This window comes from Homo sapiens, chromosome 10 (assembly GCF_000001405.40).
Source record: "Homo sapiens chromosome 10, GRCh38.p14 Primary Assembly".
In the NCBI taxonomy this organism is placed as follows: domain Eukaryota; kingdom Metazoa; phylum Chordata; class Mammalia; order Primates; family Hominidae; genus Homo; species Homo sapiens.
In genome coordinates, this window is record NC_000010.11 from 34,678,737 (window position 1) to 34,696,535 (window position 17,799).

General features: G+C 41.5%; 1 protein-coding gene across 11 annotated transcripts in view; it reads right to left on the minus strand.

The window, feature by feature from the left end:
• Positions 1 to 17,799, minus strand: part of PARD3 (par-3 family cell polarity regulator) — a 705,736-nt gene that overhangs the window by 569,176 nt on the left and 118,761 nt on the right. For all 11 annotated transcript variants that reach the window (NM_001184790.2, NM_001184791.2, NM_001184789.2 and 8 more), the window contains exon 2: positions 17,582 to 17,683. In NM_001184790.2, the coding sequence (NP_001171719.1) occupies positions 17,582 to 17,683 (102 nt within the window). The remainder of the gene's footprint in view (positions 1 to 17,581; positions 17,684 to 17,799) is intronic.

Here is a 17,799-nt window from a genome sequence, read left to right on the forward strand (position 1 = left end):
TCAGGAAACTTTTTCAAAATAATATTAAGGAGTAAACACAAAGAGTAAGCATGACTTTCAATTCCCCCCGCCCACCAAGAAAATAAAAATTAAAGGGGTGTTTTAAGGAAGTTTCTGTACCAACCTGCCTTTTGCTGACTTCTGAAGTGGCTCTCTTGAGGTTCAATGACCTTGAAAACCTTAACGCCTTCACCGAATCCTTCCGAGAGGTCCCAGAAAAAGAGTAATACCTCTTTGCAGGTTTCCCCTTCGCTCTGTCTGCCATCTCAACCCATTAGGAAGACAAAATCCTCAACAGCACAGACTTCAAGACTAACAACAGAATAAAATGATCCCCAAATAAACAGTCCACCCAAAATGTAAATAAACAACCTGTTTTGCTCAGTCCTCAAGGAAAGGGCAAAACCTCAAGTAAAGGGTAAAAAATGGAAAGCAGGTGGAAAATAGGGGAACACATTCCACCACCTAAGTAACCCCTCAATGGACGGCACAGACGGCATCCGGCAGTGTGGACTCCAGGTTCACCAGGGAAACCAGCTACGCCTCAACTGCACCAAATTAAAACTGCACCAGTCAAACAGGCCGGAGGTAGTTTGTCAAGAGTAAAACAGGGTGTAGCAAAACACCCTGGAGTCAGCAGGGTGTGAGAGCACACATCAGGTTCAAAGAAGTCTCTCAACGCATTCCTTGCCAAAATAGACAGAGGGCTATAGGATAGGATCAAATCACCACTCCTACTTCAAACCAGGAGCCCTCGGAGTGTGACTATTTTGTTAAGCTCTTTGAAAACTCTCTTCTTCCAGTGAATGAGAAATGGAGTGATCGGATGCTCAAATACACATATTTTACTCAGAGAAACACAAAACAAAATAGTCACAAGCATTACGAATTAGGAGTCTGGAACGCCACCTCCCATGTCACAGAAAGAGGAGGGAGGGTGTTTTTATACCCTTTCAAAAGGCAACAGGAACATCTTTCCTTCATTTTATCTCAGGTCTCACTGAACTGAAGTTGAGCTCGAGAACAGGTCACGAAAATAAGACAAGTCGTCTGTGCAGGAACAGGGATGGAACTGGAGGCCATTATCCTATGTGAAATCACCAAATCAGACACCGCATGTTTCACTTACAAGTGGAAGCCAAACAGTGGGTACATACAGACACACAGAGCAGAATAACAGACACTGGAGACTCCAAGAGGTGGGAGGGTGCAAGGTGTGAGGACAGAAAATTACCTTCTGTGTACAATGTTCACTATTTAGGTGATGGATGCACTAAAAGCCCAGACTCCACCACTACCCAATATGAGCATGTAAGAACCTGCACTTGTACTATCTAAATATATAAAAATAAAAATAAAAATTTTAAAGAAAATAAAACATGAGAAAATGGAGAAATAGGTCTCTAGAGAAAGTACTGAATACTATGAATACCTGCAATACAATTATACTTATAATACTATTAACACTAGAGCCCCACAAAACCCAATGCTTTAGGACACCTACAAGCCTAACCCAAGGATTGAAAGATACAGTACATTCAGGCCAGTGTGGCAGCTCATGCCTGTAATCCCAGCACTTTGGGAGGCCGAGGCGGGCTGATCACTTGAGGTCAGGAGTTCGAGACCAGCCTGGAACACATGGTGAAACCCCATCTCTACTAAAAAATAAAAAAATTAGCCAGGTATGGTGGTGGGAGCCTGTAATCCTAGCTACTCTGGAGGATGAGGCAGGAGATCACTTGAACCCAGGAGGTGGAGGTTGCAGTGAACCAATATCACACCACTGCACTGCAGCCTGAGTGATGGAGTAAGACTCCGTCTAAAAAAAAAAAAATGAGGGGAGGGGAAGGGGAATGAGAAGCGGGAGGGGGAAAGATAAAGAAAGAAAACGTTCAAGGTAACAAGAGGCATGGAATTATTTTTTAAAACACATACCAATCATTAAAGAAGCTACATAACCAATTGGAAATCATCATTCTCAGTAAACTATCGCAAGAGCAAAAAACCAAACACCACATATTCTCACTCATAGGTGGGAATTGAACAATGAGATCACATGGACACAGGAAGGGGAATATCACACTCTGGGGACTGTGGTGGGGTGGGGGGAGGGGGGAGGGATAGCATTGGGAGATATACCTAATGCTAGATCACGAGTTAGTGGGTGCAGCACACCAGCATGGCACATGTATACATATGTAACTAACCTGCACAATGTGCACATGTACCCTAAAACTTAAAGTATAATAAAAAAAAAAAAAGAAGCTACATAACCAAACAGCCTACACCAGAAATATACAGCTGGTGAATAATATAAACACAGAAAATTTAAGGACAGCTGTATTTAACAGTGTTATACGATGCAATATTACTCAAAGTGTGGTCCCAGTCTCCATGAAGTACAGAAATAGAGTAAGCTTTTGAGAACACAGCAACTTGACTGAGTAATTTTATATCTGTTAACTCTAATAATAGCTAAAATAAAGGCCCATAAAACACAAGCCACTTTATCCCAGTAATTTATTTGCATTGTATTTTAAAAGTATTGTTCTGCCACAGGTTGGAGGGAAAAAAAAAGCAAATCTAGTCCTTCACAGCGACAGTTTGAGAAGTAATTAGTTGTGTTAACTAAAGGTAGAAAGAATATTCAAGACTGCCTCTTTGGGGAGGGAGAGAAAGTTAGAACTAGCCCATCTGGAGGCTGACCTGAACACACCTCCTAATTTATCCAGCCTGAATATTCCCACCTACATATGGGACTTTTCTTGCTTTAAAAGTATGTGGAATGCAGCTACACTAAGAAAAAAAGGATACAAAACTTTACATACCTTATAGAACATGGAACACCACTGTTGTAGCTGCAAACATTTTGCTAGCATTTTCCTTTATTATATATAATATATATCAAATATATAGTATTATACATGTTATATATAATATACATGTATATAATTAGATTTTTATATTTTATATATGTATTTTACGTATGTATTTTATATATATATATATATATATATATATATATATATATATTTTTTTTTTTTTTTTTTTTTTTTTTTTTTTTAAGTAAGACAAGGTCTCACTATGTTGCCCAGGCTGCCCTCAAACTCCTGGGCTCAAGCAGACCTCCCACTTTGGCCTCCCAAAGTGCTGAGATTATAGGCATGAGCTACCAGCACCCCGCCAACATTTTCATCTCCCCATTTTACAACAGATCCCTAAGGACAAGTGTTCTCTATTTACTTCAATCTCTCAAGTCCTGCCTAGAATGGAACAGATGCTCAATAAATATGTGAGGGCTAGATGAAAGAAAAGGATGCTGTTACAGAAATGCAACTGCAGTGTCATCTCAACCTCAAGTTCCCAGCAGCCAAGAGATCCCTGTTGACACTACCCACAAGTGCTGATAACAAAATGCCTGATAGTGGACGGTCATCATTCGACTGTGCCCTTGAAAAGAAGTATCTCTTGACAATCTTTTGTAAGAAATTAAGTCAAGCAGTATAGCACACATTCAGACGCAAGGAACTTCAGAATTCTTGCGTGGTAGTGCACGCCTGTAATCCCAGCTACTCAGGAGGCTGGGGCAGAAGAACTGCTTGAACCCGGGAGGTGGAGGTTGCCTTAATAATGTATTGAGAATCCTCAAATTCTAACACACAGAAAATAAACAATGTATTTCTTACAACTATCTCTGGGTGCCAAGTATATACCATGCTCTCTATAAATTCATAGAAATAAAAAAATAAGTGAAACTGATTACCTACAGAAACTCATTTCATAACACAAATATCTAGGATAGCCTGGTTTGTTTGCTCGCTTGTTTTTAAATCCTCAGGCCAGGTGCAGTGACTCACACCTGTAATCTAAGCACTTTTGGGAGGCTGAGGCAGGAGGCTCATTTGAGCCCGGGTGTTGGAGGCTGCACTGAGCTAGGATCACGTCACTGCACTCCAGCCTGGGTGACAGACCAAGACCCATCTTAAATAAGCAAACAAACAAAAAGCCAGGCATGGTGATGCACATCTGCAGTCCAAGCTACTCAGGCGGCTGAGGTGGGAGCCCAGGAGACAGAGGTTGCAGAGATTGCATCACTGCACTCCAGCCTCGGTGACAGAGCAAGGGCCTGTCTCGAAGAAAAACAAAACAAAACAAAATAAAACCTCAGAAGCAGTTATTAAAAGAATGAAGAGCCTAATTTGACAATGGTGGTGGTGGTGGTGATGGTGGCCGACAACGGCAACCACAATTAACATTTCCTGGGACCTTATTCTTGCCGAGCACAAAACCTTAATGTGAATTCTAAGGCTTAATCTTAAACTTAACCTCATAATGAAATCATGTCCTTTGCAGCCACATAGATGGAACTGGAAGCCAACACCCTAAGTGAAATAACTGACACAGAAAGGTGAACACCACGTATTCTCATTCATAAGTGGAAGCTAAACAATGGGCACACATGGTCATAAAGATGGAAACGATGGACACTGGCGACTCCAAAAGTGGGAGGCGGGGAGAGAAGCAAGGCTTGCAAAACTATTTACCGGGTACTACACTCACAGTTTAGGTGATGAGTTCACCGAGGCTCAAATCCCATCATCACCCAATATACCTATGTAATATAACTACACATGTATCTCCTGAATCTGAAATTTAAAACAAACAAACAAAAAACTCGTAAGATAGTTACTATGATTATACCCCATTTACAGATGGGAAAAATGAGGTAAGAGAAGTCAAGTAAAGACAGCGTGAAGCCGGGATTCAAATGCAGGCAGTGTGGCTCCACAGCCCACCATACGAGATGCCAGGCACTTCCAAAGCAACAGAAAAGCACAGCGCGGCACACCAAGTTATTAAGCCCCAGCCTGGGATTGGTGTAACAGAAAGAGTGAGAACCTCTGTCCCCTGACTCACTGGGTGGCCCCAGATAAGCAAAGTCTTGAGGGCTTTCGCTAGAAGGACTGAGGCCCAGCCCATCCTGTGCAGGCTGACCCCAAAGCTCCTACTGCTCGTGAGGACCCTCACTTTTCATGCAGGAGGCCTGGCCCCCTCCGAACTCCCTTTCACTAACACCTCACTGCTCTACCTGTACCATATCTGGGCCCTGTGCTCCCACAAATTGATGAACTGTGGCCAAACCAGTACCCACAAAACACTTAAATGTTGGGAAGTCATCTTTCTGAATTAATTAGCCATTTGCTGCTCTGCTTGGCAGCAAATTTAAATATTTGCTTCTTTACACTCTAAAATAAGCTCACTTAGGAGGAAATGAATAAAGTCATCTAGTTAATGAAGTCAATTTATACAAGTTATTTCATTTCCAGGTTATCAAAATCTTTAAATCATTCAGTTCCTATGCCAATTCATACTAAAGTCCAAAAAAAGATGTTTCTATTCTAAGCTATATTTATAACTAAACCTAATGCTTCTTTCCTACTGGAATTAAGCAGAAGTAGAATATGGAGTGGACAGTGAAAACGAAAACAAAACAGTGAACCACACACACTGTCCTCAGAGATGACCAGTACTGACACTTTTTGGTCTACCCCTCAAACTTTTTCTAATGTATATAATTATTGCACTAAAGTTAGATTATATTTGGTACATTGTTTTAAACTGACTTTTCACAGATTTATATTGGATTCACAGATTTATCTACGGTTAGTCCCAAATATCCAGCTGCCGAACTAACAGCTCCAAGACACTCAAACTCACAGAAGACAACACTGAATGTAATCTCCCATCCCTAGTCTGGCAACCTCGCAGCAGTCCCTACCTTGGTGAATGCCCCACCATCTCCACCCAGCCCAATCGCCATCAATTTCAACCTCCTTCCACAAAACTGGCAGGAGCCACACACTGCCTGCATTCGAATCCTGGTTCCAGAAAACCTGCTGACTGGCCTCTGCCTTCCATGCTGCCTCCTCATTCATTCTTCACACAGCCACCAGGGGGATATTTCTCAAATGTAAACCTGATCACTTAACACCTGCTGGTCTTTCAGTTACATGTCTATAAGACTTTGGCTTGATGATACATACACACACACACACACACACACACACACACACACACACACACACACACACACATATATACACACACACATATATATACATGTATATATATACACACACATACACACACACACACACACACACACACACACACAGAGTATAGTAGCACTAAGCCCAATGCCTGGTACAAACTAGGTGCTTAGTAAACTGAATTACCTAAAAATATTAGTCTGATTTTCTTGCAAAGGAAATTATTCCATATGCTATCTTTTAAATTATTCACGCACTCTGGTTTGAAAAACTTATTAACCTTTGAGAGGGAGAGGGAGGCCACTTAGCTTTGATTCAATATTGAAACTAGGTTTTAATTTATTCCATTTAATCTTAATCTCAAGTATTCATCAGAAGACAGTAGGGTATGTATTTATGAATAACTAAATTATTCCTTTTGATTAAGACAACAGAAAACACATTTCATAAGTTTTTCATTATACTGTTTTCTGTAAGTAGGATTTATGATAAGGTATGCCTTCAGAAAACACTGCTTCTTTAAAATGTATATTTCCCCAAGATGGAAAGATTAAGATGCCTGCATTAAAAGCATGTTCTCCTGGGCTACATCCACTTCACCTGAAGGAAGGCAAGGAATTCAACAACTCACCTACCTGATCAGCAAAAAACAGTACGCTGGTCACCATGTAACACCCTAGGCAGATATCATAATTCATGTTTACTTACGGAAATTAAGCCACATGTGCACAAAGGAAAAAACTCAGAGTAAACCGGTGGCTTAAACATTCTAAGGGAGTTAACAACTTAATGCACGTGATTCCCGCAATCTTTTTTTTTTTTTTGGAGACGGAGTCTCACTTTGTCGCCCAGGCTGGAGTGCAGTGGGGCAATCTCGGCTCACTACAACCTCCGCCTCCTGGCCCTACACGATTCTCATGCCTCAGCCTCTCAAGTAACTGGGACGACAGGCGCGCATGACCAAACCTGGCTAATTTTTGTATTTTTAGTAGAAGCAGGGTTTCACCATGTTGGCCAGGCTGGTCTTGACCTCCTGACCTCAAATGATCCACCTGCCTCAGCCTCCCAAACTGCTGGGATTACAGAGGTGAGCCACCATGCCCGGCCTTTCTGCAATCATTTTAAAATTCGAGGTAGTAATCATATGATGCCACATCCTAATGGAAATTAAACACATTTCTGGGATCCCCACCCTGCAACTCATCCCATTTTTGCATGTAAAACACTGAACTCAAATTAATTTCACATGTTTAGTAATAACTAAAATACTACTTACTTGAAATAAGAACACCTTAGTTATTTCAGGTATCACTGCTTTTCACTAACACATAATTTACTTGAATTCCTTAAGTGTGAACTACAATTGTTACAAATGTAGTATGTGAAGCCCTCCCTCATTTAATATGTCTTATTTTTACAGCTTGTAGCTCTGTGAAATGTTAACAAATTAGAATCTGGATAATAACTTACAACCTCGGTCCTTGTGCGATAATTTTCCTATGGCTCTTTTCTGTCTTTTCACTACATACTCAAGTTGCTTTTAATATTTTGTATATTTTAATGTTAAAGGAAACTGGCCATAGTTGAAAATTCTATCCACCAAAGGCACTTCCTTAGGAAACTTCAGTATGTATTAATAAGAACTCCCTTAAAAAAAAAAAAAATAGGGCCAGGCGCAGTAGCTCACGCCTATAATCCCAGCACTTTGGGAGGCCGAGGCGGGTGGATGAACTGAGATCAGGAGTTCGAGATCAGCCTGGTCAACATGGTAAAACCCCATCTCTACTAAAAATACAAAAAAAAAATTAGCCAGGCATGGTGGTGGGCACCTGTAATTTCAGCTACTCAGGAGGCTGAGGCAGGAGAATTATCTGAACCTGGGGGAAGGAGGTTGCAGTGAACTGTGATCGTACCATTGCACTCCAGCCTGGGAAACAAGAGCAAAACTCCATCTCAAAAAGAAAAGAAAAAAAAAAGCCAGGCCGGACATGGTGGCTCACACCTGTAATCCTAGCACTTTGGGAGGCTGAGGAGGGTGGATCAGTTGAGGTCAAGAGTTCGAGACCAGCTTGGCCAACATGGTGAAACCCTGTCTCTACTAAAAATACAAAAATTAGCTGGGAGTGGTGGTGAGCGCCTGTAATCCCAGCTACTCGGGAGGCTGAGGCAGAAGAATCGCTTGAACCCAAGAGGCAGAGGTTTCAGTGAGCCGAGACAGCGCCACTGCACTCCAGTCCGGGCGACAGAGCAAGACTCTGTCTCAAAAAAAATAAACAAATAAAATAATAAATTAGAAAAATAAAAAATTATGAACTTTTTACATTAAAGCATGTTCCTAACCTGAAAATTCTGCCATACTTGTATTTCAAAAGCAAAAATTATTATAGCACATTTCAAAAATATCAATATAAAATGCCTAATGGGGCAGTAATTTTATTACCATAAGAGGCACCAAAACAACATCAGTATGTAAGTTAGAGACTATACCCAGGGCAAGGGGGCTGGGGAAGGATGGAAATGTGCCCCTGTTAGCTTTTCCTCAGCACGTGGAGTTGTTGCCTGCCTGTGATCCCCAATAAGTTTTTTAAAGTTTCTTTTTCTTCCCAACATTTTTCTAACGGAACTGGCCAAATCACCCCCTAGAAAATCCCAAATTCTCTGATAAACATCAACAGGCTTAGCAGCCAGCAATCTCCACCACAATCCTTCCCCATGCCTGGCTTCAGCATAAACGTGCAAACTCTTCAAACTGAGTTTACACAGCCATTCCATCCAAGACTTCCTCCACAAAGGGCAAGAAACAGATAGTGCAAGGCATCTCACAGGGTCACCACCAAAACAGAACATACATGACATCATTCCTGCTCAAAGCAAAATTACATCCAAGAACGACAAAGGAAGTGCTTGATATTACATCTCTGAATCACCTTCAGCACCAAAGATAGTAAAAGATGACAACATGGGGAAGAGGAAGACTTTCTCCCTGTTGATCATCCACACAAAAGTGTACTTCCCCGCCACCTACTGACTCCACATGCCCGGTCAGTTACACCTGAAATCTTTTTTTTTTTTTTTTTTTTTTTTTTGAGACAGGGTCTCACTCTGTTGCCCAAGCTTGAGTAGAGCAGCGTGATCATGGCTCACTGCAGCCTCAACCTCACAGGCTCAATGCGATCCTCCCACCTCAGCCTTTGAGTAGCTCAGACTACAGGCCAGCACCACCACACTCAGCTAATTGTAGTATTTTTTGTAGAAACAGTCTCGTTAGGTTGCCCAGGCTGCTCTCAAACTTCTGGGCTCAAGTGATCCACCCGCTTTGGCCTCCCAAAGTGCTGGGATTACAGGCCTGAGCCATGGCGCCTGGCTCTGAAATCTTTGTTTACGCCCCTTACAATCAGTCTCAGGTGACTGGCCTGCGCAGGAACTGAATCCCAAGTATTTTTATTCTGTGATAAATTTGGAAAAATTATCCACATTTCTAAATTTGCTGTACTACCCACAGGGAATAAACAGGAGTGGCCTAGGCCCACTGTTGAGAACGAAGGGAAGGTCCTCAAATAATAAATGACAAAGACCAAACCAGACAGAGATTCACACAAAATACAGCTTGTCCATCAGGAAAGTTCACGTACACAAACGCATGACAGCTGCTCTAAATGGTGGTGAAGATAACATTAAACTGTTTCAGTTTTTCCTAATTTGGCAAAATGTCAATTGAGAAAACTGAGACTGAGATGCTAAGAGTAAACACGACATCACTGTTCCAGAAACACAGAGAAAGGACAAACAAAACAAAGTACCTTTTTACACTCAAAGAGATCTAGAGTATTCTACACCTTAGAAAATCAAACCTACTCCAAGGGGCCAGGGTAATATAATAGTACCATTTGAACAAATTTGGGTAAATCCTGGAAGTGAGAACTGTATAGGCACTAACAGAAAACTTCCTCAGTGCTGTGCCCTGAACGTTAATAATTAAAGGATAATGAGGAAAATTAGGGGTAATTTAGTACTTGACTTTAATTTTCTTTTGCTATCATTTAAAATACTGCCTCTTCCCCTCCATAAAAAATAAGTTTTTAATAATGTTACAAATTCACAACGACCAAGTATAAAATTTGCATCTTCAAGAGCATCTTCCCTGCTACAGAGGCAGAGCCATTAAAGCTGTGGTTTTGTAACTTAGTGAGCCTAAATAGCAGCAGGAGGGGGACTGTAAAATGCAGATGCCCAGGACCCTTCACAGAGATCCTATTTCCCAGGCCAGGTATCTACGTTTTCAACATGCATCCAGGGGATATTCACAAAACAGGACATTATTTTAGATACATGTTATTATTTAAGAGAGGTATAATGCTTGTTCTTTTTTCCTTAAACCAAAAAGCAAAACAAGTGTCAAAATCCTTACTTGGAGCAGCTGCCAAAAATAGTTGAAAACACTCCAGAATGATTAAATCAGGATCGAATGTCAGAGCCACGGAAAAGAGCCGTGCGACCGACTGCATCACACGATCCCTCAGTCTGAATAATGCGTCCAGCCATGACTGTGAATCTGTGTGAATTATGAAAAACTAGGTGTTGTGAGTCTAAGCTACTAATCATATTTCTTACAGTTTCAACTTATAATGGGCACTTTAATCTAGGAATGTCACTCAACAATATTTAAATCAATTATGCATATATTTTAAAGTATTTCTGAACAAATAAAAAACGGCTTTAAAAGCTACTTCAGTCTATGGTATAAGGTGCTCTAGCATTTTTCTATTTGGAAACTGATTTCAATCAACATGATATAAAATTGTCTAAAGTGTTATTTCACCTATTAATGTTTAAAATATTTTTCTCAGGTTAAAGGACATTTTAATTTGTATAGGAAATATGATAAAAGATTCTAGAAAATATATTTTTTATTATCAAATTCGCAGAAGGATACAAAATCTAAAACGTCGTTTACTAAGAATTGTATAATTTTAATATGCCACTATTTAAAAAGATCAAGCATAGTTTGCCTTTTGCTTGGTTTTGTGTATAATCTAACAGTTAATTGTGTCAAAACAAGAGTGCATGACTTTCAGTTGCTGAATAACACATTATTCAGTAAAGATCCAAAACAACATCATCCACCTTACCCTCACTGATTTTTACATGTTATTTATTTATTTATTTATTTATTTATGAGACAGAGTCTTGCTATGTCGCCCAGGCTGGAGTACAGTGGGCGATCTCAGCTCACTGCAACCTCCGTCCCCTGGGTTCAAGCAGTTCTCCTGCCTCAGCCTCCCAAGTAGCTGGGATTACAGGCACATGCCACCACACCCAGCTAATTTTTGTATTTTTAGTAGAGATGGGATTTCGCCATGCTGGCCAGGCTCATCCTGATTTCCTGACCTCAAGTGATCTGCCCACCTCAGCCTCCCAAAGGGCTGAGATTACAGGTACGAGCCAGCATGCCCGGATGGCCTCACTGATTTTTATAATAGCCCAATGACTGCAGAATACATTATTTTCAAGTACCCATAAAATGTCCACCAAAAAGGCCATATGCTAGACCAAAAAATATGTCTCCATACATTTCAAAAGACTGCAAAAATCATTGTGCTGAACATCTACATCATGATGTTCTACTGGCTCCAAACATAAACTCTGAGGGCATCTAATGTCAGCTGGAGTGCAAGGGGACAAATGGAAACAGTAATTGGTACTGCATAACCCTTCAGGCCTTACTACATTATGCTGAGCATAAATGAGTCCATTGAGTTCAGCATTCTCAGAAGCATTGAGATCGTACAGCCCCATAAATCCTACTTGTGCAACAACCAAACTTCCACAACAGGTTATTCCAAGCCATGCACCAGGGCCAGGCATATCCCAGAAAACATGTTATAAGCCACGCCTCGCTAGCTCTATGGAAAGGCACAAAGTCAAGGTGTAAAGAAGGATGGCAGAACCCCGAGGGAAAACCTGCGTCTGTAAAAGTAAAAAGGAAACGTGGTGGAGAAACAGGCGTGCTCATCTCAGCTGCTCAGAGTACAGAGAGTGCCAAAGGGAAAAGCGTACAGGTGAGCACAGCAGCTGTCTCCATAGTCATCTAAGTGTCCACAGCAAGTACAACGAGACTGTACATGAATCCATACATCAAAACACAGCCGAGCGCAGTGGCTCATGCCTGTAGTCCCAGCACTTTGGGAGGTCGAGGCAGGAGGAGCACTTGAGCCCACGAGTTTGAGACAAGCCTTGGCAACACAATGAGACCCTGTCTCTACAAAAATGTTTACATAAATTAGCCAGGCATCGTGCAGTATGCCTATAGTCCCAACTACTCAAGAGGTGAGGTGGCACCCAAATAGGAAGAGAGGAAGTCAAACTCTCCCTGTTTGCAGATGATATGGTTCTATACCTAGAAAACCCCACAGTCTCTGCCCAAAAGCTCCTTGATCTGATAAACAACTTCAGCAAAGTTTCAGGATGCAAAACCAATGTATAAAAATCAGTAGCATTCCTACACACCAACAACATCCAAACTAAGAGCCAAATCAGAAACACAATCCCATTCCCAATAGCCACAAAAAGAATAACATGCCTAGGAATACAGCTAACCAAAGAAACGAAAGATCTCTACAATGAGAATTTAAAAACACTGCTCAAAGAAACCAGATATGATATAAACAAATGGAAAAATGTTCCATGCTCTTGGATTGAAACAACAAATATTGTTAAAATGGCCACACTGTCCAAAGCAATTTACAGATTCAATGCTACCCCTATCAAACTATACCAATGACAATCTTCACAGAATTGGAAAAAAAGAATAATTCACATAGAACTGAAAAAGAGCCTGAATAGCCAAGGCAATCCTAAGCAAAAAGAACAAAGCTGGAGGCATCACATTACCCAACTATAAACTACAGTACAAGGCTACAGTAACCAAAACAGCATGGTACTGGTACAAAAATGGACACACAGACCCATGGAACAGAAGAGAGAGCCCAGAAATAATGCCACACACCTACAACCATCTATCTGATCTTTGACAAAGCTGACAAAAACAAGCAACAGGGAAAGAACACCCCATTCAATAAATGGTGCTGGGATAACAGGCTAGCCATATGCTGAATATTGACACTGGACCCCTTCCTTACACCACACATAAAAATCAATTCAAAGGGCTGGGCATGGTGGCCCACGCCTGTAATCCCAGTACTTTGGAGGCCGAGGCAGGTGGATTGCCTGAGGTCAGGAGTTCGAGACCAGCATGGCCAACATGGTGAAATCCCATCTCTACTAAAAATACAAAAATTAGCCAGGCATGGTGACGTGCACCTGTAATCCCAGCTACTCAGGAGGCTGAGGCAGGAAAATCACTTGAACCTGGGAGGCAGAGGTTGCAGTGAGCTGAGATCGCGCCATTGCACTCCAGCCTGGGTGATAAGAGCGAGACTTCATTTCAAAAAAAAAAAAAAAATCAATTCAAGATGGATTAAAGAATTAAATATAAAATCTAAAACTATAAAAACCCTGGAAGATAACCTAGGAAATACCATTCTGACCATAGGTCCTGGACGAGACTTCATGATGAAGACAGCAAAAACAATTGCAACAAAAACAAAAATTGACAAATGGGACCTAATTAAACTAAAAACCTTCTGCACAGCAAAAGAAACTATCAACAGAGTAAACAGACAACCTACAGAATGGGAGAAAATATTTGCAAATTATGCATCCAACAAAGGTTGAATATCCAGCATCTATAAAGAACTTAAGCAAACTAACAAGCATAAAACAACCCCATTAAAAAGTGGGCAAAGAGGCCAGGCGTGGTGGCTTACGCCTGTAATCCTAGCACTTTGGGAGGCCAAGGAGGGTGGATCACCTGAGGTCAGGAGTTTGAGACCAGTCTGGCCAACGTGACAAAACCCATATCTACTAAAAATACAAAAATTAGCCGGGCATGGTGGCGGGCACCTGTAATCCCAGCTACTCGGGAGGCTGAGGCCAGAGAATCGCTTAAACCCAGGGGATGGAGGTTGCAGTGAGCTGAGATTGTGCCACTTCACTCCAGCTTGGACAAAAGAGCGAGACTCCATCTCAAAACAAAGTGGACAAAGAACAAGAACAGACGCTTTTCAAAAGAATACATACACATGGCCAATAAGCTTATGAAAAAATGTTCAACATTACTATCATTAGAGAAATGCAAATCAAAACCACAATGAGACACCACCTCACACCAGTCAGAGTGGCAATTATTAAATAAAACAATACATCCGTGTCGCGTGAGAAATTCGAAGAAAAAAATTAAAAGTCAAAAAATAACAGATGCTGGCAAGGGTGTGGAGAAAAGGGAATGTTTATACGCTGCTGGTGGGAATGTAAATTAGTTTGGCCATTGTGGAAAGCAGTGTGGCAATTTCCCAATGAATTTAAAACAGGGTTATCATTCAACCCAGCAATCCCATTACTGTGTATATATCCAAAGAAATATAAACTGTTCTGCCATAAAGACACATGCACACATATGTTCATCACAACACTATTCACAATAGCAAAGACATGGAATCAACCTAAATATCTTTCAGTGGTAGAGTGGATAAAGAAAATGTGGTACAAACATACCATGGAACACTAGGCAGCCATAAAAAATAACAAGGTCATGTTTTTTGCAACAACATGAATGGAGCTAGAGGCTATTATTGCTAAGTGAACTAACATGGGAAGAGAAAACCAAATAATGCATGATCTCACGTGGACATAAAGAGGAAAACAACAGACAGCAGGGCCTACTTGAAGAGGGAGAGGATCAAAAAATTAGCCTATTGGGTACTATGTTTATCACCTGGGGTGACTAATCTGTATGCCAAACCCCTATGACACTCAATTTACCTATATAACAAACCTGCACATGTACCCCTGAATCTAGAATAAAACTTTTTTAAAAATAAGAGGCTGAGGCAGGAGGATCACTTGAACCTGGGAGGTTGAGGCTGCAGTGAGCTATAATTACACCACTGCACTCCAGCCTGGGTCTCTAAATAAATAAATTAAATTAAAACAAAAGACTACACAGCCATGTTGGCATAGCTATGGTTCATGGACACAGAAATATATATATGCTAACCTCAAAACAAAAAACTACTATTCAAGTCTCTTTATTTAAAAGAAAAAGACTGTGTTTCTATCTATCTGAAGAAAGGGAAGAGTCAGGATGAAAATCTCAAACAACAGTGATAAGCTCTCAGCAATAGCAGGATGTCAGGTGATTAATTCCTTTGTATGTTTCTGCATTTTCCAATTTTTCCTCACAAGGAGTTGTGCTATTTTTACATAGGAAGTAACAGCAAGAGAGAGAGACTGAGAAAGAGAGGGAGAAGAAAAAAAAAAAGAAACAAAAAAAAGAAGGACGAAGAAGAAGGGAGAAGAGGAAGACATTGAAAGATTGATACGTTAATTCATCGCTTTCTAATACTCTGGTGGAAAAAGAGCACCTGTTTAAATTCTTCATAAATCTCTGTAGTTGCCTTGAGTGTTGGAATTGAGCCACACAATAAATGAAAGATGGTACTCTTCATGTGGACTGCAGAAAAGGATTTCAGAGTTACCCTAAGCCTGGCTCACTCAAAAGCCCAAGAAGGAGAAACGGCACCAAGAAAAATAGCATCAGAACATAAGTCGGCAGAAAACTTCTGCTTTTTTTTTTTTTTTTTTTTTTTTAAGACTAGCTCTGTTGCCCAGGTTGGAGTGCAGTGGTGTGATCTCAGCTCACTGCAAGCTCCACCTCCCAGGTTCACGCCATTCTCCTGCCTCAGCCTCCTGAGTATCTGGGACTACAGGCACCCGCCACCACAGCCGGCTAATTTTTTGTATTTTTAATAGAGACGGGGTTTCACCTTGTTAGCCAGGATCTGCATTTTTTGATACAATGTATTCCTGACCCACAGGAGCCACATGGGACAAATTCCACCATGACAGGTGCAACAGTGAATCTAATCTTCCAAATTTATACACTATTTGGTATTTGATATTTTTTGTCTTACTTGAAATTTCAAGAAAACATTTAAGATATGCACCAACTCTCAGCCAGGCATGATGCTAACTGTCAGGAATATAGGTGTGAACAAGACACAACAGCTGTGTGCACCCAGCTCACAGCTGAGGGAAAGAAGAGCAGGCCGGTGGGGAGAGGGCCAGGAATGAGAAGGAGCCCCAGTAGGAAGCAGAGTGAATATCTGGGTGATCTTACCATCTTCTGACCTCACGATGTAACCTAGCTGGTTAAATACCCTGTGCAGGGAGGTTTTAGGAGACAGTCGACCAGGCCGCTGCCTCCATACTACCATGCTGATGTAACTATGTATGTGGCTATGAGCCCTTCTGCAATTCCTTATAAGCCAAATACAAAAGGAGTGGCCAGGGCCGGGTGTGGTGGCTCACATCTGTAATGCCAACACTTTGAGAGGCCAAAGCAGGCGGATCATGAGGTCAGGAGTTCAAGACCAGCCTGACCAACATGGTGAAACCATGTCTCTACTAAAAATACAAAAATTAGCCAGGCGTGGTGGTGCACGCCTATAATCCCAGCTAGTCAAAAGGCTGAGGCAGGAGAATCGCTTGAACCCAGGAGGCAGAGGTTGCAGTGAGCAGCCGAGATCACGCCACTGCATTCCAGTCTGGGCAACAGAGCAAGACTCCATCTCAAAAAAAAAAAAAAAAAAGAATTTGCTGACTTCTACATCCAGAGCCGAACATCCTGTCACGCATTCTCAAAACGCTGAACGTTCCTCCTCCCCCTCCTCTTCCTCTTCCTCATTCCTCTCAAGAGTACAGAAAAAAAGTGGGGTAGTGGGAGGGAACACTGAAGAGCAGTAGGTGGATAGGTCCAGGAGCCAAACTCACAGACCACAGTAAAGACTGGGGAAGCACACACAGAGCATCAGAGCACTGATGGAGAAAAGGCCGAGCTTCCTGAGATCCAGGCCCTGCACAGGAGAGGCTGCCCGGGACACAAATGGCCCATCGCACAGCAAGGCTGAGCTTCCTGAGGGCCAGGCCCTGCACAGGGTAGGCTGCCTGGGACACACTCGCCCACTGCACAGGAGCACGGTGCACCGCCAAGGCCACGGTTGGGATGGATCTTCTCAGGGCCAACGCTGGGACCAGAATGCAGAATGGCTGCATGTTGTATACACGGAGATGATAAGGACAGGCCCGAGTTGTGAAGAAAGATGTTATGTTTGGTTAAATTAAGGCAGAATATGGCATAGAAATCTTTTTGTGATATTTCCATTGTAAAAGTGTAGTTTTAAAACCCCAAAACCTAGTGTTAAGTCCCAGGTATCAAGAAAATCATTATACCTTGGTATTCAGGACAGTGAAGATTCATGATACTTATTATAAAAGAAAATATACTAGAGTGGGTGGCCCACACATAATTTAAAGTATGTGTCTAAAACAGAAAGGAAAAGAATCGCACCCGCTCCCTAGTCCTCAAAAAAAAAAAATGCATTCAGAACAGGTTCCCCAGGACCTGAACTCACTCTGTCTTTATCGTCTGCTACATCACAAAGAATGTCATCAAGGTCTAGTATTCCTCCATCTCCATGTTCCAAGCGATGCACCTGTATCCAGTAGTTTGGATCCTATACGAAAGAACAGAAACACTGAATATAGCAAGTTAGCATCACCAAAAGGGAATTAGACATTTTAAACCGTGATAACTTCCTGCCCATAAAAAGGAATCAACCTCATATCAACA